Source organism: Homo sapiens, chromosome 3 (assembly GCF_000001405.40).
Source record: "Homo sapiens chromosome 3, GRCh38.p14 Primary Assembly".
NCBI lineage: Eukaryota > Metazoa > Chordata > Mammalia > Primates > Hominidae > Homo > Homo sapiens.
Genome location: NC_000003.12, coordinates 3,097,282 through 3,120,173, shown reverse-complemented (window position 1 = coordinate 3,120,173; position 22,892 = coordinate 3,097,282). Strand labels below are relative to the sequence as shown.

The 22,892-nt window shown below is 40.3% G+C and overlaps 1 protein-coding gene across 9 annotated transcripts in view, besides 2 other annotated features; it reads left to right on the top strand.

Annotated features, from left to right (window-relative positions):
• Positions 9,800 to 22,892, top strand: part of IL5RA (interleukin 5 receptor subunit alpha) — a 44,051-nt gene continuing 30,958 nt past the window's right edge. For 5 of the 9 annotated variants that reach the window (NM_001243099.2, NM_175726.4, XM_011533677.2 and 2 more), the window contains exons 1-7: positions 9,800 to 10,229; positions 11,483 to 11,624; positions 15,187 to 15,271; positions 17,354 to 17,499; positions 18,344 to 18,482; positions 21,884 to 22,037; positions 22,117 to 22,304. In NM_001243099.2, coding sequence (NP_001230028.1) covers positions 15,190 to 15,271; positions 17,354 to 17,499; positions 18,344 to 18,482; positions 21,884 to 22,037; positions 22,117 to 22,304 — 709 coding nt within the window. In that variant the 5' untranslated portion in view covers positions 9,800 to 10,229; positions 11,483 to 11,624; positions 15,187 to 15,189. Of the gene's footprint in view, positions 10,230 to 11,482; positions 11,625 to 14,637; positions 14,707 to 15,186; positions 15,272 to 17,353; positions 17,500 to 18,343; positions 18,483 to 21,883; positions 22,038 to 22,116; positions 22,305 to 22,892 lie in introns of all 9 variants that reach the window. The other 4 variants (NM_000564.5, NM_175725.3, NM_175724.2 and 1 more) reach the window with 2 other exon arrangements.
• Positions 10,355 to 10,434: an enhancer, noted in NCBI's record as "active region_19343". NCBI's record gives its function as "activates an Ori minimal core promoter by ATAC-STARR-seq in GM12878 lymphoblastoid cells {active_cell/tissue: GM12878}" and the evidence as "EXISTENCE:reporter gene assay evidence [ECO:0000049][PMID:35858748]".
• Positions 10,515 to 10,634: a silencer, noted in NCBI's record as "silent region_14008". NCBI's record gives its function as "represses an Ori minimal core promoter by ATAC-STARR-seq in GM12878 lymphoblastoid cells {active_cell/tissue: GM12878}" and the evidence as "EXISTENCE:reporter gene assay evidence [ECO:0000049][PMID:35858748]".

Genomic DNA, 22,892 nt, shown 5'->3' with positions numbered 1-22,892 from the left:
CACAGAGAAGTTGTGAATGTAACATTACTTCCATTCATTTATGCATTCATTCATTCACCAGAGGTTTCAGTGCTCACAATTTGCCAGTGGCATGGGTAATACAGTAAGAATAAGGCTACCTACCAATGGTATTGTGTTTAGAATAGTGCCAGGCATTTTATTTTGATTAATTTGTTTAATCTTCACAAACATCCAATTAGGTACTGTATAGAAGAGGAAACTGAGGCATAGAGAGGTTTATTTGTCTAAGGTCCTACAGAGAGTAAGTGGCACAAGCAGAATTTGGAGCCAGATATTCTGCCTCAAAACCACCATTGAACACTGATAAGGCTGGAGAAGACGGCAGGGACTAGAGCATGCAGTGCTGGGTGCTTCTCGGGATGACATCTGGATTTAATTTTAATGGCAATAGCAAGATATTAAAGGTTTTTCAAAGCAGGGGTTTTCATAAACCTATCTGTGGTTTCCTGCCATCAGGCAGACTGCAGCATGAAAATGGGTTGGAGAGCCCAAGCAAGAGGCTGGGGCAGTTATGCCCAGGAGGGTGGGCCAGCACGTTGCCACAGTGGGGAAGAGAACTGAGTGAATGCTAGAGTCAAACTGGAAGGCGGTGAGGGTGGAGTGGAATGAGACATGAGGAAAGACCCCTGCATTCATTTCCTATGGCTGCTGTGACAAATTACCACAGACTTCAAGGCTTAAAACCACATTGGTGTATCATCTCACAGTCCTGGAGGTCAGAAGTCTAAAATGGGTCCACAGGGCTGCCTACCACAACCTCCGAGCCTGTGCTTTAGTAACTTAGTGGATGAAAAGATAACAGGACTATCAAGGAAAATGATGTCACAAAGAATTGATGGCTCGACTTAGCATTAACTGCATCAGCCTCAATGCTGAATACTCTTTCTATTCCCCCCAGCCCCACCCACCTTTCTGGGTTTTAGGCAGGTAGTTCAATTTCATTTATTCATTTAATTTTTTATTTTACTTTTTTTTTTTTTTAAGATGGAGTTTCACTCTGTCGCCCAGGCTGGAGTGCAGTGGTGCAATCTCAGCTCACTGCAAACTCTGCCTCCCGAGTTTAAGCGTTTCTCCTGCATCAGCCTCCAGAGTAGCTGGAATTACAGGTGCCCACCAACACGCCCCACTAATTTTTGTATTTTTAGTAGAGACGAGGTTTCACCATGTTGGCCAGGCTGGTCTGCAACTACTGACCTCAGGTGATCCGCCTGCCTCAGCCTCCCAAAGTGCTGGGATTACAGGCATGAGCCACAGGTAGTTCGATTTCAAATGAAAACCCACAGCCGAGTAGAGGTAGACCCATCAAATAGCAGGGTGAGACCTTACTGATGGAGTTCGCCACTGCCCACCAGCAATTACTCTAGGACTGTCCCCTCCACATCAGCCTTCCCTAACATATCACTGTTCCCAGTGCACTTATATTTTAAAATAGGACAGAGAAGGAAGAATAATGCTTTCCATAAAAATAGGAATTAGGCTGGGTGCAGTGGCTCACACCTGCAATCCCAGCACTTTGGGAGGCCAAAGTTGGAGGATCACTTGAGCTAAGGAATTAGAGACCAGCACCAGGAACATGGCCAGACCTTGTCTCTACTAAAAATAGATTTTTTTAAAAAAAGCAGCGAAGTGCGGTGGCACAAGCCTGTAGTCCCAGCTCCTTGGGAGGCTAAGGTGGGAGGGTCACTTGAGCCCAGGAGATTGAGGCCGCAGTGAGCCATGATTGTACTACTGCACTCCAGCCTCAGCAACCTAGCAAGATTCCAACTCAAAAATAAATAAAAAAGGACAGTGAAGGGAAAATAATGCTTTCCATAAAAATATGGGTTAGGCTGGGCACAGTGGCTCACACCTGTAATCCTAGCATTTAAGGAGGCTGAAGCAGGAGGATCATTTGAGCCCAGGAGTTTGAGACTAACCTGGGTAACATAGTGTAACTCTGTCTCTGCAAAAAACTTAAATTATAGCACTTTAGGCCTCCTGGGGAAGATATTTGAGGCAATATTTAGACAAGTCAGAAAAAACATAAATATGACCTAATTTTAATATTGTGCAATTTATTCACACCCCTCCCCACCCTCACTTTTCATTGTAAGTGACACTGAGTAATTTGTTTAAAAGAACAAGTTCTGTTTCAAGAATGTATTCTTTCTTTGAAACAACCAAAAGTACCTGTTTGGGGAAAAAGTCATTTGCTAGTTTTGTTCTCATAAAAGTTTAATAGAAGGCAACTAAAGTTTAAGATCTCCCAGAGGACAAATAAAGATATTTCTCAGCAAATGTAGAATCGCAATTTTCATTGGTGCTGGGGGATTTTACACACAAATGCAATTTTATTTTACTTTTAAAAGAGGTAAGTAAATAGACAAATCAATTTTAGCTGCTCTGAAATGTCATACCGGGTCATTAATTTTAAAAGATGAGACTTCAATAATAGTTAAAAGAACAAAGGCCCAAGGGTAAAGACTGAGAATAATCACCTTCAAAATTCTGAATTATCAGCAGCCTCAGATCAGAATCAAGAGGAGCCTAATTCAGTTTCCTTGTGATGTTCTCCATTGCATTTTTTACCTTCAAAATATAGGTTCAAATGGAATTCCCTTTTACAAAAACAGAAACCCTCTTTCCTTAAAGCACGAGGACCTCCTCTGTGTGCTGGATACTAGGATGAATTCTGGCAAAACCAAGCTCGATAAAATAAAGACCTATTGTCTAATCTACATTCAGATCGGAGGTATGAGACTTGCACCTGGCCATCTCTGTGGTGGAGACAGAGATATAAACATAATATTTGGTATGATATAAAATTTAAATGAGGCCAGGCATGGTGGCTCATGCCTGTAATCTCAGCACTTTGGGAGGCCAACGCGGGTTTATCACTTGAGCTTAGGAGTTCGAGACCAGCCTGGGCAATATGACGAAATCTTCTCTCTACAAAAAATACAAAAATTATCCTGGCATGGTGGTGTGCGCTTGTAGTCGTAACTACTTGGAGGGCTGAAGCAGGAGAATCGCTTGAGTGCAGGAGTTCGAACTGCAGTGAGTCATGATTGCACCGCTGCACTCCAGCCTGGGAGACAGAGTGAGACCCTCAAAAAAATTACATATTTTATATATATAACATATATATATAAATATATATATATAACATATATATATAAATATATATATATAACATATATATATATATAATGTTAAATAGACAAATACAAGCAGCAGTTTAATGCACACTTGAGGGAAAGACAAGAGAGAGAGTGATCTTCCCAAATAACATCACATTCAGACTTATTCTGAAATAATCAGGAGTTTCTCAAGAGGAACTCCACACTCACCACCATCAAATCAGACAGTCCAAGTTAAACAATTGTACTGTTTTGTGAAAATAATAATTATGACAATCATGGAATTAAGGTTTTGACATTCTAGGCAATGTGAATTTGGAGAGCATCACAAAGAGTCTGTGCTATGTAAATTCTCTAAGCCTCAGTATACTCATCTGTAAAAGAGGTTTATAGAGCTGTGATGTGATCGTGTGTATAAGGCAACTGACAGTCCCAGGAACATGGTAGCTTCTCTTTTGACTGAAATGGGACATTAATCTACATTAACAACATAAGTTTAGCCCAGGTGTGGTGGCTCATGCCTGTAATCCCAGCACTTTGGGAGGCCGAGGTGGGCAGACCACCTGAGGTCAGGAGTTCGAGAGCAGCCTTGCCAACATGGCGAAACCCCATCTGTACTAAAAAATACAAAAAAAAAAAATAGCCGGGCGTAGTGGCGCACACCTGTAGTCCTGGCTACTCAGGAGGCTGAGGCAGGAGAATAGCTTGAACTCAGAAGGCAGAAGTTGCAGTGAGCCTAGATCGTACCACTGCACTCCAGCCTGGGTGACAGAAAGAGACTCCATCTCAAAATAATAATAATAATAATAAGAAGAAGAAGTTTAATTGTGTAGTTTTTGCTATTGTTTTTACACATTCTGGTTGATTTCCTGTATCTGGTTTTCAGAGCAAAGAACTGGTCTCTGACTAAAGAACTGAAAAAAGGACTAAAGAACTGAAAAAAGCTTAAGCTACTGAAATTCTTTACTGAATAAAGATATGCTTTTAATTTTAGCTACATGGGATAACTCAACAGATTGATTTTACACTAGAATTTTTCTAACGATTACCCAGAATTCTGTTTCAATCCTTTGAGGGTATCTAATCCTGCTAGGGTATTTTTTAATGACAGTTTTATTGAGATATAACTTACATATCATAAAATTCACCTATTCAAAGCGTACAAGTCAATGGTTGTAATATATTCACAGAGTTGGAAACCATCAATACAATCAATTTAAAATATTTGTGTTATCCCAGAAGAAAATCTCATACCCATTAGCAGTAACTTCTTATTTTTCCCAAACTCCCTCCATCCCCCGGCAGCCCTAGGCAACCATGAATCTATTTTCTATCTCTATAGATTTGCTTATCCTGGACATTTCATATAAGTGGAATCATGCAGTGTGTGATCTTTTGTGACTGACTTCTTTTACTTAGCTTCATGTGTTCAAGGTTCATCCATGTTGTAGTATCAGTGCTTCTTTTGATGGCTGAATAATATTTCACGGCATGGATATACCACATATTCTTTATCCATTCATCAGTTGCTGGACATTTGGGCTGTTTTCACTCTTTGGCCATTATAACTAATTCTTCTGTGAATATTCACATATAAATTTTTATGTAGACACATGATTTTAACTCTCTTGGGTGGGTATTTGCCTAGGAATGCAATTACTCAGTCGTATGGGAACTCCACATTTAACCTTTTGACGAACTGCCAGGCTGTTTTCCAAATTGGCCACCTCACTTTACCTCCCCAGCAACAGTATGTGAGGGTTCCAGTGTTTCCACATCTTCATCAACAGTTGTTATTGTCCTTTTCATTTCAGCCATTGGAGTGGGTGTGAAGAGGTATCTCAGTGTGGTTTTCATTTGCATTTCCAATAGCTAATGATATGGAGCAGATGTTCCTAGGCACCTTTGCTGTTGGTACATCTTCTCTGGAGATATGTCTGTTCAAATTCTTTATCCCATGCTTAAACTGGGTTATTTTACTTTTTTCTTTCTATCTTTCTTTCGTTTTTTGAGAAAGGTCTTGCTCTGTCACCCAGACTGGAGTACAGTGGCACGAACACGACTCACCAGAGCCTCAAACTCCTGGGCTCAAGCTATCCTCCCACCTCAACCTCCCAAAGTGCTGGTATTACAGGCTAAAGTGGGTTATTTTTCTTTTTATTGTTTGGTTTTAAGAGTTTTTGACATATTCTAAATAAAAGTTCCTTGTCAGATATGTCTTTGCAAATATTTTTCCCATGCTGTGGCTTGTCTTTTCACTTCCTTGTATTTTATTTTATTTTATTTCAGACAGAGTCTTGCTCTGTTGACCAGGCTGGAGTGCAGTGGCACGATCTCAGCTCACTGCAACCTTCGCCTCCCGAGTTCAAGCCATTCTCCTGTCTCAGCCTTTGAGTAGCTGGGATTACAGGCACCTGCCACCACACCTGGCTAATTTTTGTGTTTTTTAGTAGAGACAGGGTTTCACCATGCTGGTCAGGCTGGTCTTAAACTCCTGACCTCAGGTGATCTGCCTACCTTGGCTTCCCAAAGTGCTGGGATTAGAGACGTGAGCCACTGCATCCGGTCTTTTTTCACTTTCTTCATGGTATCCTTTGAAGCACAAAAGCTTTTAATTTTGGTGAAATCCAGTTTATCTATTTTTTTCTTTTGTTGTGTCTGCTTTTGTATCTTATTGAAGAAACCATTGGGTAGGTGCGGCGGCTCATGCCTGTAATCCCAGCTCTTTGGGAGGCCAAGGTGGGTGGATCACCTGAGATCAGGAGTTCGAGACCAGCCTGGCCAACATGGCAAAACCCCATCTCTAGTAAAAATATAAAACTTAGCCGGGTGTGGTGGCACACGCCTGTAATCCCAACTTCTCGGGAGGCTGAGGCAGGAGAATCGCATGAATCCAGGAGGCAGGGGAGTTGGCAGTGAGCTGAGATCATACCACTGCACTCCAGCCTAGGCGACAGAGTAAGATTCTGTCTCAAAAAAAAAAAAAAAAAAAAAGAAAGAAACAAAATGAAGGTCATGAAGATTTATGCCTATGTTTTCTTCTAAGAATTTTATAGTTTTGCCTCTTACTTTTAGGTCTTTGATCCCATTGGAATTCATTTTTGTCTATGCTGCGAGGCATTCTTTTGCATGTGGATATGCACCACTTATTGAAAGGCTGATCTTTTCCCCGCTGAATTGTCTTGACACTCTTGTCAAAAATCAATTGACCCTAAATGCGAGAGTTTATTTTTGACTCTCAATTCTATTAAATTGATCTGTATGTCTCTAATATTTTTTAAAATAACTTTTTCTGCCTGCATTTGTACAGAATAAAACGTTTGTAAATATAGAAACACAGAATAAAAGTAAGAGAAACACTAACCCTGCCGTGGTAGAATGAACTGTTGGTCCCATTTCTTCACTCCCCACTAGGAGTTGTCCATGTCCACATCCTTATCATGGCCTTATCATGGTGGAATGTACTTTGGGCTTCGTCCATTTGACTCCGGGCTTGGCCATGCAATTTGCTCAGCCTCTTGAGATGTCAGGGAATGTGACATGAGCAGATGCTTGATGCGTGCTTGTGCAGTTGGTCCTGCTCTCTTGCACTTTTGCTGTCACCATAAAAAGATTATGCCCTGGGTAGCCACTGGTTCCAAATGAATGGCAGATACTTGGAACAAATCTGAACTCACTTTGTGATCTGGATCCCAGCCCAAGATTAAGCAGACCCCAGTCAAAACTCAGACACATGGGCTACAAATACATGCCTATCACAGTTTACCACTGAGGGTTCTGTGGTTGCTTGTTCTGTAGCAATAGCTGACTAATACACCTACCACTTAGAGATAACTATTCCTGTTAGTCTGATCTTCTGACCAAAAATAAGACTGTAAAAAAAAATTACATGTGTGTATACCCTCCTGTTGTTTTTACTTAACATTTTTTCATAATACCCTATGTTATTAAAAGTTCTTGATTGGCTCATACCTGTAATCCCAGCACTTTGGGAGGCCAAGGTGGGAGGATCACAAGCCAGGAGTTTGAGACCACCCTGGCCAACATGGTGAAACCCTCTCCCTACTAAAAATACAAAAATTATCTGGCATGGTGGCACATGCCTGCAATCCCAGCTACTCCGGGGGCTAAGGCACGAGAATCACTTGAACCCAGGAGGCAGAGACTGCAGTGAGCCGAGATCCTGCCACTGCACTCCAGCCTGGGTGACAGGGCACCACCCTGTCTCAAAAGAAAAAAAAAAGTTATTGATAAACATTCCTTTTGACATCCACATCACATATTTCAACCTTGAGCAGTTACATATTTCTCTTCACCATTCCTATAGTACTTTTACTATTTTACTATTGTAAAGGTACAATGAATTTTGCTCTCTTTTGTATAAATCTTGATCTACATTTTTCCATTATTTCCATGGAATCAAGTTCTAGAAGTTGATACCTTTAATAAGCTCCTTTAACCAAAGTTCATGGTAGAGCCACTGAACCATGATTTTCGTTTTATTACTATTCATATTTCTATTTGGCTAAACTCACATTGTTTTGCTTAAAGGATGCAGACACATTTAATTTCACTTTTTAAAAAAACGACTTTTGTGAATTCTTCCAGCATGTTCTATCATACTGTCTTTGGACGTTTACACTTTATTATAAAGAATTAAATTATTGCCATAAAAAACCAAACAGGCCTCGCTCAGTGGCTCACGTCTGTAATCCCAGCACTTTGGGAGGCCGAGGTGGGTGGATCACCTGTCAGGAGTTCAAGACCAGACTGACCAGCGTGGTGAAACCCCATCTCTACTAAAAATACAAAAAAATTAGCTGGGTGTGGTGGCGGGGGCCTGTAATCCCAGCTACTCAGGAGGCTGAGGCAGGAGAATCGGTTGAACCCGGGAGGTGGAGGTTGTGGTGAGCTGAGATCGCGCCATTGCACTCCAGCCTAGGCAACAAGACTGAAATTCCATCTCAAAACAAACAAACAACCCCCCCGCAACCCCCCGCCAGAAAAAAAAAAAGTCCCTGCCTCTCATTTTTTCGTTTGTGCTTATACAGAAACATAGAGACAGTGTTTCTGTATGAGCATGTGTTTGCTTTGTTTGTTTGTTTGTTTTTATTGGCGTAGTTAATTAAAGATCATATACCCAGGAAGGTGGTATGGAAGGAGCAGCCAGATCTAATTTTCTTTATACCCTTCACCGCGCCTAGCATAGTGCATAGGTGCATTCAATGAATATTTGAGTAAATGAATGTAAGAAATATACAGACCATTGGCTGAGTGTGGTGGCTCACACCTGTAATCCCAGAACTTTAAGAGGCCAAGGCGGGTGCATCACTTGAGGTCAGGAATTTGAGACAAGCCTGGCCAACATGGTGAAACCCCATCTCTACCAAAAATACAAAAAATTAGCCAGGCGTGGTGGCGGGTGCCTGTAATCCCAACTACTCGGGAGGCTGAGGCAAGAGAATCGCTTGAACCTGGGAGGCAGAGGTTGCAGTGAGCAGAGATTGCGCCACTGCACTCCAGCCTGGGCGACAGAGTGAGACTTCATCTCAAAAAATATACATATATATATACGGAGAGAGGCCATTAAAGCAGGCTTTTAAGCCAGAAATTACTGTCTTCCCAATGATTAATAAGTATTTTTAAGGTTTCATTAGTGACAAATATGTTACATGTATAAACAGATGGGCAGGACTTAAAAGAGTAGGCCAGATAGTTGATACTATATCTAAACTTTTCTGGGTGCCTCTTAGCAAATAAATGGATCTCTCTCTGTTCCTTGTTTTACTTCCCCTTTCCCCGAGGAAAATCACATTTTTCAGGTCTGACAACAATTTTCAACCTGATAACAATTGCTCCGGTTTCATTTTGGCAACTGCTAAAATGGTCACCTTGGGAACCCCAGGCACACACGCTGACTGTACTTGCACAGCTTCTACACTGAGCCTTTTGGAAATTGCCTCCAGGAAGCCTGTCTCTCATCTCACAAACAGAACCACTGATCCAACCTGGGCCACCATCTTTCTGCATCTGCTCTGTCTGAGACTCTCCCAGTCAGCTCCTAAGGAGACAGGGAATCCTGCATCACTCATCGCTTAGGCTAGACTGAAGGTCTCCTTCCAAAGGCAACTACTTACTACTCTCTGCCGTGGGTCATACAATAAGCACTACTCTTATCTATTCACACGCTAAGCTACTTTTTTAAAGCCAGCTTTGCTAGCTAGCCACCTCGAAATTCCCCAGAAGGAATCAAACAGAAATGGAACAAAGGACAGGAAAAGCCAAGGAGGTTTGCTGAAATTGAAGCATTCTGAAGACAGCTGGGTGGTAAAATGGATGTGACGTGAGGAAGGTGGTCTTGGGTGCACCCACAGACCAACACTGCCATTGTTACAATTTGTGTAGGATGATCTCAGGTGACAGACAGCAGCAATTTATCACACCCAGAAACGCATCCCCCACACATATTTACTTGAGGGTACCAGACCTGCTCACAAAGCAGAGAAGAGCTAAGGCGGTTCTCTAAGGGCAGAGAATTGCTGCTATTGCCTAGTGAGTGGGGAGAGGGTACTCCTCAGGCCTTACTTCCTATCAAATCATGTGTCAGTGTTGCCTAGGAGACAGAGGCACAGTAACTACTGTAGCCAAACAAGGCACATAAACAAAACAGAAATGCAACGCTTTAGAGTACCCACGGAAAACTTGTTTACCTTGTCACCATGAGTAAAAGTTAATTCCCACTCCTGAAGAGAGCAAACCAACTCTGAAAGAGAGTGAAAATGCAGACAAGACAGTTATCAGATAATGGCTATCTGGACGAGAGATTCTTTCGTTTGACAGCAGTTTGGTTGTTGGGAGTTCCAGTTCAGCTCCTGCACAGTTGCTCTGTACAAATCCTCCTCCATATTTGCTTAGAGAAAACGTGTTGCCATCCCATCATGAAGGAAGCTGCCTGAGAGTTTTTAACCATTACAGCCGTGATGATGAAAGAGTGAAGAACCGCCTCTAAGTTAAAAAGTGCACCCAGAGATAAGGTTCGTTCTCAATGCCCTGCCGCTGCTTCTCATCGCATGGCCACCGCATTTCTCAGTAAGTGGGAATCAAATGCTTCACTCACCACAGAGTAAGCAAATAAATATCTTTTTTCTATGACATGGGCTGTAACAATACCCTGTGCTCCACCTCCTAATAATTTCACTACACCCAGGGTGGGGAGGAGGGTTAGGAAAAGCAAGAAACAATGACTTCTAAATATATGACAAACTTGTAAACAACAAAAAGGGGAAACAAAACTCCTTATAATTCTATTATTATTAGCAGGGACAGAACTAATAATGGTCCCATTAAACTTGCATCATTAGGCAGGTCATGTTGATTCTGGGTATAACCTTCTATTCTTGTGTTTTGGCTCAGTAAGTGAGATGTGCAAATCCGTGGCAAGGTGAGTCATATGAAAACAACACCTATGGTTTTGTTAGTGCTTACATCAATATAAGACATCTGTTTTCCACCGCTCCAGATAATTATGCAATTAAAATGAGAACATATATTCTGCCAAGATTTCTTAGAAAATAAATGAGCTTCCAAAATAGGGTATAGGGTTTAATAAAATATCTCAGGAAGTTTCAGAGTTAAGCAAGAAATCTACAAATAAAGAAACAACAACAAAAAGTAGAGAGAGGCACTTTATCTAACTGAAGGAGGCGTTCTGCTTTTTCTTTCTGGTAGGGGTTCTTGGATTTCCAAGATTGTTTCATTGTATATAAAATGTACCCAAATTTGCTGAAATATGTCACTTGGTTTTGTGTTCACTAATGTATTTACCTAAAGCAAGGTAAGCATATTTCCATGTAGACAGAAAAAAGGATGAAATGGAACCAAAAAAAAGGGGGAAAAAGGAGAGACAGAGCGAGAATATTTTAATACCCTTGAGCCTAAAATTAATAAACACATGAAAAGTGATGGTGCTTTTATAGCCATGTGAATAATGTACTTAGTACTTGCTTTAATGAATTACCATACTGAACATTTTATTACCTGGCATGATTTCTATTTTAAGTGAATATGTCCTCTTTCATGGTTATCGAAAAAGGAATTTATGTAGCTATTTGTTAAAAGTTTGCATTTCAAAGCAAAATAAAGTTTTAGAAGTTAAATCACCTCATTTGTTTATATTATTTGAAACACCGCATGGGAAATTTTTAGGCAAAATACCAAAAGTGGGCCAGGCTTGTTACACACTCCCCAGCCTGCTGCTCTCCTGACCTAACTCATTCCTCTGTTAGGTTTCACCGCACATTGCACATTAGGGCTGTGCACTAATTTGCTTCTATTCCACACAGGGCCAGGCACATTGAGCATTGGTCCTGTGCCTGACGCTATGCTAGATGCTGGGGTTGCAGCCACGAGCATAGACACGACAGACACGGTCCTCGCCATCTTCTGTTGAGTACTGGTCGGAACAAGAGGATCGTCTGTAGACAGGTACGCCCAGGAGCATGGATGTGAGATGACAAATTGCACCATGTGCAATTGGCAGGAAATATTTTGCTACTGGGATATTTGTAGCAAACTCTTTCTTCTATTTTTCCAAATACTCAAGGTGGCAACACCATTTCCACTTGGACTGACAGAGAGTTTTATGTTTACAGCCACAACCTGAACTCATGAGTTCTATTTTAGGACTATTTCAGAAATTTAATCAAAAGTACAGTAGTAGTAAAAAAAAATTGCATGCATGATAAGTGGTCCTTATTATTCATTTATATATTTAGGAATGTGCAGTTTTTCATTGGGGGGTAATGCAATATACCTAGGTAAACATGTCTTTTGCAGTTTATACCTTGGTTTATTCTTCATCCCCCAAGAGATAACTTTTATTGCTGATTATACTGTACAGGATAAAAGAGAAAGTAAACTCTTCATATTTAAAAGCCTACCAGAGCATGAATCCTCTCAGTTGCTTTACAATTTCTGCCACTAAGGTTGAGTCTGGAATTAGGTGTTACCACAGTTGACTCAAAAAGGTTTTAAAAACAGGGGTGCCAGTATAACTTTGGTTATAAAACGAACGCCCCAGGCAGAAAAATAAGTTGGGAAAAAAAAGAGGGGAAAATATTTGTAAGTCTGAACTTCAGTAGAATTTGACCAGTTCTCAAGAACGCTGGGGAAATCCACTGCTAATTGTCAAAATTTTACCAAACTTCCTAGAAACACCTATAGGGAAGGAGACTGTGGTTGTTTTCTCCAAAATTTCAAAAAATGTAACACCTATCAGAAACTAGATTTTTAGAGAGCACTTGAGGAATTTTAGATTGACTCAATGAAATGTTATATGAGCAAGTAGATCATGAGATCATGATTTCTCTTAAAGATTGAGCATGTCTTCCTGGTGATAGATAAACAACCTATAGTTGCTTCATTCTGCTTAGTTTGCATCTTATTTTAACAATTTAATGGTTTTCTGCTAGATTTTAATTGGTAGCCATGAGAAGAATGAGTCGAACATATTGTCGATATATATGTTTAAGCTAATGAAGTCGCTCTATTCTTTTATAGTGAAATATGACCCAGTTGACATCTACATAACAGTGTATCTTTGGATTAAAGAAATGGCCTGAAGAGATTTGTTGTTGCTGTTGTTGTTGTTGTTTTAAGCAGGGACAAGAAGTATTAAGGGGCCACAGAGAGTGAGCAGAATTGTAGAAAACATGGTATCAAATCCTGAAGCTCTAGTACTATTCAACCTTATGTAAAATTTATCTGACTCACAAAAAAAAAAAAATGTCATTCTTTTTAATATTTAGACCCCTACTGAGTACCTTGTGCTGCCTATAGGACAACTGATTTTGTTCAAAAGCACCTCTTTTTAAATATGACAATGAGACATGAAAAAGCTGTCTATTTATTTATGGCCAAAAACTAATAATCAAAAATTTTTTGAATGATTAAATTTGAAAAACAATTCTATTTTTAGCAGCTATAAAATCAGAATACATGACAAATTCTAGGGGAGAGTGCTTGCTCATATAAAATATTCAATTATCTCTCCACTGAGATATTCAACAGTTTTATCATTTACTTCAACAATTTAATTGCAAAGGATAAATACATGTTTATTGCTTTTACAAGTACATTTATAACATAGTTTTACTTTGCCAGTCAGTGAAAGTCACAAAGAAATATTAATTTTGCAGTTTTTTCTGACCTAGAATTCCTATTATTGAAAATTAGTGCAAAATCAGAGCATATTTAATATTATTTCAGGAAATGCTGACATTTTAAGAAATCACCTTCATAACTTAAAGAGGAAGCTATCTTTGTTGCTGTTCTTAAGGAATTTTTATCTTTGCTTCTCAGGCTTAGTAGATTACTAGTGTTTTCCCTTAATTCATTAAAATTCTCACTTGTTGAAAATTTTAAAAAAATTATAGAGTACCTGCTTTTGTTGTCATCGTCATCGTTTCATTTTTTTTTTAATTTCTACATGGTGTGAAATCCTCAGAGAAAAATAAACAGGATTTTAAAATCAAAACTGGCATACTTCTGATTAACAGTACTTAAGCTTATTTGACAAGGAATTGAGTGATTTATATGCCGATCCTTTCCTGCTGTTTTGGCATTTTACCAATTTCATTAGTAAGTTCAGCAGTAATTGTAGCAACTTAAGTAATAATTTAAGAAGTAATAATGAAGTTAAGAGTGTTCTGTGCTATTTCCTGGAGGTATTCATTTAGCCCAGGTCTCTCCTGTGGTTCTACTGGAATTATATTTGGAAAATACCAAGCCACTTAAATAAATGTTTTAAATGAAATTATAAATCATTGTAATTAGTACCATAAAGTTGACAGAGCATAGGTTTTGCCATTGGAAGATCAGAGATTGGGTCTAGGCTCCATTACTTAACAGCTGTTTGATCTTTGGCAGATTATTTCAGCTTTCAGACTCCTTTCCTTCATGGGTAGGAATAACGTCCATGGAAGGGATTTCCATCATGTATAACAGCCACATGTGTCTGGTACCAAATCTCTGGGGGGAGCACGTGGTAAGAGAGTAGGAAGAACTCCTTTGTAAAAGTGAGGACAACACAGGGGGAAGCCATGCGTGTTATTTGCCCTTGAAAGTTAAGTTCTTATGAAATATGCCTTTCAAAATGTGCAGAAGAAAAACTCAAGACTTCTCATCTACAGTTCCCAGAAAGAGATCACCGACTCTCCTCTTTGACATGTAGAACAGGATGCCGAGACTTTTGTGTGTGTTCACACTGGGTTATCACATTTCCAGCTCTAGATTCCTTCTCATTGCCCAATTGTTTCAAGGACATAGAAATACTGTCTTTATTTTCCCCAGGTCTATCACTGTGTTTTTCAATTCTTTTGTGATCCGCTCCCTTTGCGGGGTGGGGGGGGGAACAAAACAAATCAACAAACAAACAAAAAAAACACTCTTCAAAGTACCACAAGTTGATTCTGGATTGGTGATACAAAGTTTCTCTTAGGCTACAGATTGTTTTAGATTGAAGTTTCCTGTCATGTTCACTCATCTTTAAATCCTCATAGTGAAAAAGGTAATGTTTATTTCTTTTGCTGACTATGCTAGAAATTCTGCTATTCAAAGATCTGCTCTGGTTTCTTGTCGAAAAGCAATCCCTTCCTATTTGTTTCCTTCTCTTCCAGCTTTGCACATACCTTGGGTTCCACCAGGCATGTCTCTTCCCTGTTGTGTGCGTCAAGGACTCTAGTTCACCCTTTAGATGGCAAATCAGAAGTCTCTGCTCCTATTGTACCCCATACACACCTTTACTGAGGCAGTTTTTCAACTGGTTTACATTTATCAATTTATATTTCATTCTGTCCTTCAAACTATGAATCTACATTGGAAGGGCAAAGTCCAACATTTGGTCATGTTTGTACTTTTTGCGCATAACAAATATGCCATAAATGTCTGTTAAATGGCCAAACGACTGCATTTTATGTTAGAAAGCAGCTATCAGTTTTTCTTAAAAATAGCAACAAGATGATTTTGGTATCTCCCTTGTTTTCTGTAGGATATGATCATCGTGGCGCATGTATTACTCATCCTTTTGGGGGCCACTGAGATACTGCAAGCTGACTTACTTCCTGATGAAAAGAGTAAGGACCTTCTATTCAATTCAATAATGTTTATTTTTAAAAATATGTTAGTAAAAGGATAACATTATTTCCTCTTAAACTGTCGATTAGAACATTATATATGGATTTTTATGAGACAATATTTATCCCCATCAGAAGACAGATGCTTTAAACATGCCATATTTTAAGAAAGCAATGTTGGCTGAAATGCAAATGTTATGCTACAGTGGGAAATCAAAGTCAAAGTGTGGGTGTCCGGGCACCATGGAATAAAGCTGGCGCCAGTGGTCGCATTTGGAATGTCTTCTCACACAAGGGAGTAGTTAGAAGGCCCCATGACCAAACGTTAAGAAACTTCCACTGCATTTTGTCCTGAAATCTGCTGATGTTATGTATTTGATGTGATGACAGAGTTTAAGGAAAATCATCACATGGTCCCAGTCTAGCATTGTCAACAGAACTATCTATGGTAATGACAATGTTGTATCTCTCTAATGTCCAATGCAGTAGCCACTAGCCATATGTGACTATTGCGCCCTTGAAATATGGATAGTGCAACTAAGGTAATGAATTTAAATTAGTTTAGGCCGTATGCAGTGGCTCACACCTGTAATCCCAGCACTTTGGGAGGCCGGGGCAGGTGGATCACTTGAAGTCAGAAGTTTGAGACCCACCTGGCTAACATGGTGAAACCCCAACTCTACTAAAAATTCAAAAATAGCCAGGTGTGGTGGCACATGCCTGTAATCTCAGCTACTTGGGAAGTTGAAGCAGGAGAATAGCTTGAGCTGAGAGGCAGAGGTTGCAATAAGCTGAGATCGCACAACACTGCCCTCCAGCCTGGGCAACAGAGTGAGACTCTGTCTCAAAAATTAATTGATTAATTAAATAAAATTTCAATAGCCACAAGTTGCCAGTGGCTACCGTAATGGACAATGCAATATAGACAGAGCTCTAAAAGTCCTCATGTGGTAAACATGGATGTAGAGGTGTGGAAGTCCGTTAAGGTCAATGGATAAATCCTGATAACTTAGTAAATGAATAAAAGAAGGTTTTGTAGTTGTGTGTACAATACCGTCCTAATTGTGGTAAAAAAAATTAAAAATTGCATAAATATACGCCCAGAAAAAAACATAACGAATATATCATATGTTAATTCCATTCTTAGTGGTACAATTATTTTAAAAAATTTATTTTCTTCTTTCTGCTTATCTGTGTTTTCCAAAATTTCTTCAATAAACAGATATTGATTTTGTAATTAAACAAAAGCTTTAATTTTGAAAGCAAAGTCAGAGAATGGCTCATGCAGGGGGAAGAAACCTTTTCTTTCTGTAAAGCCCTATTTAAGTAAGTTTGCTTGCAAATATTTTTGTCTGTGACTCATAATAAGAGGTAAATACATTTTTACATTATGTACCAGCACACATACAAATATATAACTACCTTTATGTAGTGGAAACGAGATTCATGAAACAGCTCTTATTATGTTTGATGCACACTGATATTTTCTATTCTATTTTTCTTCCACATTACTAAAACAAAAATTCTGGTCACAAACCAATACATTGTTATTATTGCCTGTTAATGGATAATGACTCTCAGTTTGAAAATTATGGTTATAGTGAATAGTGATATAGTAACATGTTCATATTTCAATAAAAATATAGGTATTATAGGTAAACACCTGGACATGGGCAACGTAAAAAAGATATTAAAAACAGTTTTGAAGAAACCTCTTCTAGGACAGGCGTGGTGGCTCATGCCTGTAATCCTAGCACTTTGGGAGGCTGAGGCGGACAGATCATTTGAAGTTAGGAGTTCAAGACCAGCCTAGCCAACATGGTGAAACCCTGTCTCTATTAAAAATACCAAAAAACCCACATTAGCCCAGCATGGTGGCATGCGCCTGTAGTCCCAGCTACTCGGGTAGAAATAGCCACTTTCTCTTTGCCCCGGTGTTACAGGCACGCAGGAGCAACTGTGTCTGTGGTGCTGGCAGGTCCAGGACAGCATCTGCAGGGCAATAAATATTCGAAAAGTTTTAAAAGTGCTGCCTATGTCCAGTTGAACATTGTGTTGTTTCTTTATTCTTTGAATCAACAGTTTCACTTCTCCCACCTGTCAATTTCACCATTAAAGTTACTGGTTTGGCTCAAGTTCTTTTACAATGGAAACCAAATCCTGATCAAGAGCAAAGGAATGTTAATCTAGAATATCAAGTGAAAATAAACGCTCCAAAAGAAGATGACGTAAGTGTTTATTCTAATGGATATCCTTATTGAGAATAAATATGCATTTTGACTGCATTTTCTTTATCAAATAAAATTTTGGATTAAAAAAATAAAATTACTGACAGGCTCTATGTTATGTTACCAGTAGAATAGTGTCTCTCTAAGAATGCCTGTGAGCTAGCGCCGGGTGTATTGTTCAGCGTTAAACAGCATCACAGAATATTTTAACTTTTGGATGATTCTTTCCCTTAAGGAAGAATGTTTAGTAACTTTTTAGGCACCATGGATTGGGTACTGGTTTTCTGTTTCCCATAAAATTACCAACAGAACAGGAGACAGTAGCCTAGTAAAACAAGAAGTGAGCAGGCAGAGTGGAGAGTCAGGGAAACTAAGTTCAAAACCCAGTTCTTCCACTTCCTGCCTTTGCAACCTGGGACAAGTCATTTAGCTTCTCAGAGCCTCAGTTTTACCTCGGGGCTACATTCAGGCACCTGCTACATATTAGGTGTGCAATAAAGTCAAACAAAGGGAGAAGTGATTCATATTCACTATTTTTCAGTCAATATGGAATTCTAGAGAATTTTCTGTCCGACATTGACCTCTGGGGAGATGGTGCTCAAAGGGAACTTGAGTTTAACTGTAATATTTCGCTTGTATTTACAAGAATAATGCGTTCATGTGTCATTGAGAAATTACTATGTTGTTATTACAATGGTTTTGTTTTGACTTTTTTTCTAGCAAAACTATTTCATTGCATCTTACTAATCATTTAAAAAGTAGAAGAAAATGCATATTTGATTAAAATAGCTCTCTTAAGTCTAGTTCTCTTTTATGTATCATGACTTGTGGGTTTTATTTTTAGTATGAAACCAGAATCACTGAAAGCAAATGTGTAACCATCCTCCACAAAGGCTTTTCAGCAAGTGTGCGGACCATCCTGCAGAACGACCACTCACTACTGGCCAGCAGCTGGGCTTCTGCTGAACTTCATGCCCCACCAGGTAAAGCAGGCCTCCAAAAGTCCAGTTTGTATGTTTTGGACTTTGCAAATATGGAAAAGTAGAAAAATTAACACTAACCCACTTTTCTTTAGTCAGTCACCCGTTCTTCTCAAGTACTCTCCCATATCAACAACATCCTAACCAAGGCTGCTGCCACTTCTTATCATAACCAACTGAATTCCATCTGGCACATTCTTGCAGAAATATCCACTGTCTCTGCATTGGCCTCCAGTGGAAAGTTGGTGTTTCTGATACTTAGAGTCAGTAATACTTCTGATCAAACACTTAAGTGCACACACAACAGGGGAGAGAAAAGAGGAGAAGCAGGCTACCAAGTCCTGGGACATGTGGGTGCACCCAATAACCATTGTCTTGGTCAGTTGAGCTCACGGGTAATTTTCAAACGACTATTTTGTCATATCACCAGCTGAAAAGACCATACCTCCTGAATTGTGTCAGTGACTTAAAACAGAAACATAAAGATCTTCTCATTTACTTTTTTTTTTTTTTTTTGAGATAGAATCTCCTTCTGTTGCCCAGGCTGAAGTGCAGTGGTGTGTTCTTGACTCACTGCAACCTCTGCCTCCTGGGTTCAAGCGGTTCTCATGTCACAGCCTCCCGAGTAGCTGGGATTATAGGCATGCGCCTCCATGCTGGACTAATTTTTGTATTATTATTATTATTATTATTATTATTATTATTATTATTATTGAGATGGGGTTTTGCCATGTTGGCCAGGCTGGTCTCGATCTCCTGGCCTCCAGCCATCCACCCGCCTCGGCCTCCCAAAGTGCTGGGGTTACAGACATGAGCCACCGTGTCCGGCCCCATTTACTTGTTATAACTTGTCTAGACCACATACCAGCCAATTTGCATGGGCTTGATCCCAAGTACAGAGACTAATCCAAGGTAGATACAGGAACACAGAGATGGGTTATTGTATGTGGCTTACGTCAAACCACCATTCCTCCTTTCTATAATGAACAACTGGATTTTACCTATGAGGCACTTTGCAGCTTACATTTCTACAATTCTAATTATCCTCTGAACACTCTGATACAGGATGACACTAATAAAAATTATTTCTGTTTTGAACCAAGTGGAATTCACTTAAATGATTCTTTGGATGAGAACTATAAGACAAAGAGTTGTCAGGATCTCTAAAGTGTACTTGGGTGTGGACTTTCTGGTCATTTAATGCATGGACAAATATATATTAGGTTGGTGCAAAAGTAATGACCAAAATCACAATTACTTTTACATCAACCTAATATATGCATATATACATGAACTGAATAAGTCAATTTGCTTTGAGGTAGTTCTTCTTTTTGTCTGTGCAAAAGCACAGATATGAAGAAGAAATCCATCTTTAACTTCTCTACAGGTAATAAGAGGCTCTCTCTCATCATCTTCTCCCTCTGCTTCTTGAAAGACACTGGCTGACAGTGATAAAAATGATCTACAGCTCACTTAAGCTACGATCAAAAGACCCCCTTCTATCTCTCAAGGCTCCCACTTGAATGCGGTCCTTCCTGGCCCAGGTGCAAGAGCTTGTTTCCTTCTCTGAGCAACCACCAACAAGGCCAGTGTTTCCCACAGTGTATTTTAAAGACCAACAGTTAATACAGCAACGAGAGGTTGAAATGAAAACAAGCCTTTCTAGTCACATAATTTGAGAAATCCTTAATGAAGCAAACATAAAAAGGTTGCATTTAAAATCTTGGCCGGGTGCGGTCGCTCACGCCTGTAATCCCAGCACTTTGGGAGGCCGAGGCGGGTAGATCACTTGAGGTTAAGTGTTCGAGACCAGCCTGGCCAACATGGTGAAACCCCGTCTCTACTAAATATACAAAAATTAGCTGAGTGTGGTGGCACGTGCCTGTAATCCCAGTTACTCGGGAGGCTGAGGCAGGAGAACTGCTTGAACCCGGGAGGGTGAGGTTGCAGTGAGCTGAGATCATGCCACTGCACTCTAGCCTGGGTGACAGAATGACTCTGTTTCCAAATAATAATAATAATAATAATAATAATAAATAAAATAAAATCTGAAGGTTTTGTTTTTTGAGACAGGGTCTCACTCTGTTGCCCAGGCTGGAGTGTAGTGGTATGATCTTGGTTCATTGCAGCCTCGACCTCCCCAGCTCAAGTGATCCTCCCACCTCAACCTCCCGAGTAGCTGGAACTATAGGCACATGCCGCCACACCTGGCTAATTTTTGTATTTTTTGTAGAGTTGGGGTTTTGCCATGTTGCCCAGTCTTGTTTCAAACTCCTGAGCTCAAACAATCTGCCCGCCTCAGCCTCCCAAAGTGCTGGGACTACAGGTGCATGCCACCACACCTAATTTTTATATTTTTTGCAAAGACGAGGTTTCACCATGTTGCCTGGGCTGGTCTCAAACTCCTGGGCTCAAGAGATATCCACCCGCCTTGGCCTCCCAGAGCACTGGGATTACAGGCATGAGCACCGTGCCTGGCCAATTCAAGGTTTTCTTCAAGTCCTAGTATATTAAAGAGGACTTTAACATGCTAATGTGCATCAAGTCTGCAAAGTCTGCAATCTTGCAGTGTTGTCAAAACTCATTTCTTCTGAGCAGCAACCTATGTAATTCATGAAGAATTTGGATACAACCTAATGAATCACACAATTCTAGGATGGAAAGGGATACGCAAGACCTTCCTGTACCAACCCGCTCCTTTACAGTTGAAAACACAGAGCCCAGAAGAGTGGGGGTCAATGTCTCACAGCTAGTTATTAACAAATGTGGCATTAGAGCACCAAAGTTGCCGGACATCAACCTCAAAATGACAATATATTGTACTTCTCTTGAACTTCCACACATGTATTGCACAAACACCACCCCCAGGCCCCAAACAAAATAGCTGGGAAGCTCTCGAATATCAGAAATGGGGACTTTATAATTCTAATTCCATATCTCCAGTAAGTTGGCCTTTTGTAGTTAGTAGGTTTCTAGAAATATGTGATCATGGCCGGGCATGGTGGCTCATGCCTGTAATTCCAGCACTTTAGGAGGCTGTGGGTGGATCACTTGAGGTCAGGAGTTCAAGACCAGCCTGGCCATCATGGTGAAACGCCAGCTCTACTGAAAATACAAAAATTAGCCAGGTGTGGTGGTACACACCTGTCATCTCAGCTACTTGGGAGGCTGAGGCACGAGAATCGCTCCAAGCCAGGAGGCAGAGGTTGCAGTGAGCCAAGATCGCAACACTGCACTGCAGCCTGGGTGACAGAGTGAGGCTCTGTCTCAAGGGAAAAAAAAATGTGAAGATGATTATTTTTTGGTGATGAATACGACGTTCACATCACTATAGTTCCAAAAGAAGCATGAAATTCAGAGTTTGCCATGGCAATGTTTTGTCCTTTTTACTTTTGACTACCTAGGGTCTCCTGGAACCTCAATTGTGAATTTAACTTGCACCACAAACACTACAGAAGACAATTATTCACGTTTAAGGTCATACCAAGTTTCCCTTCACTGCACCTGGCTTGTTGGCACAGATGCCCCTGAGGACACGCAGTATTTTCTCTACTATAGGTTAGTACTGTACCTATTTTTACTTAGGCAAATGGTTGTTTCCTGCAACCTCATAACACTCGTAAATGTTCCAATTTAGGTATGGCTCTTGGACTGAAGAATGCCAAGAATACAGCAAAGACACACTGGGGAGAAATATCGCATGCTGGTTTCCCAGGACTTTTATCCTCAGCAAAGGGCGTGACTGGCTTGCGGTGCTTGTTAACGGCTCCAGCAAGCACTCTGCTATCAGGCCCTTTGATCAGCTGTTTGCCCTTCACGCCATTGGTAAGACCGACTTAACCCAAAGCTGAAATAACTGAATCTCGGAATCTCAGCACTGGAAGGAAGGGTTATAAAGATCACCTAGTTTTACTGCTTCTCTGATGCCAAGTAAGCATCAGACCCATGTTTGAAAACCACTGGGGCAAGGTTCTCCATTCCAACACCACCAGTGAGTTTTGCTGGACAACTCTGTGTTATGGAGGGCTGTGCTGGGCACTGTAGGATATTTAGCGGCATCTCTGGCCTCTACACACTAGATGCCAGTAGTATGCCCCTCTGTCCTTGAGCTGTGACTTTTAAAAAAGTCTCAGACTTTGCCAAATGCCCCTCAAGGGGTAAAATTTCCCCCAGTTGAGAATCACTGCACCAGAAAAAGTGAATTTAGCTGCTTAAAAGAGACCATTTAATCCTTCATGAGTTCTGACAGGTTTTGTGAAATTTCTGCCCCTGGGTCCTGTGATGGACTAGTGCCACCCCAGGTGATTTGAGTCCCTTCCCTATAGAATAGCCTCTCTTAGCTGTTCACAGGCAGCACGTTTCCCATCCAGAAGCCCTTCTTCTCCCAGGCTAACATCTCTCTCTCTCTGAATT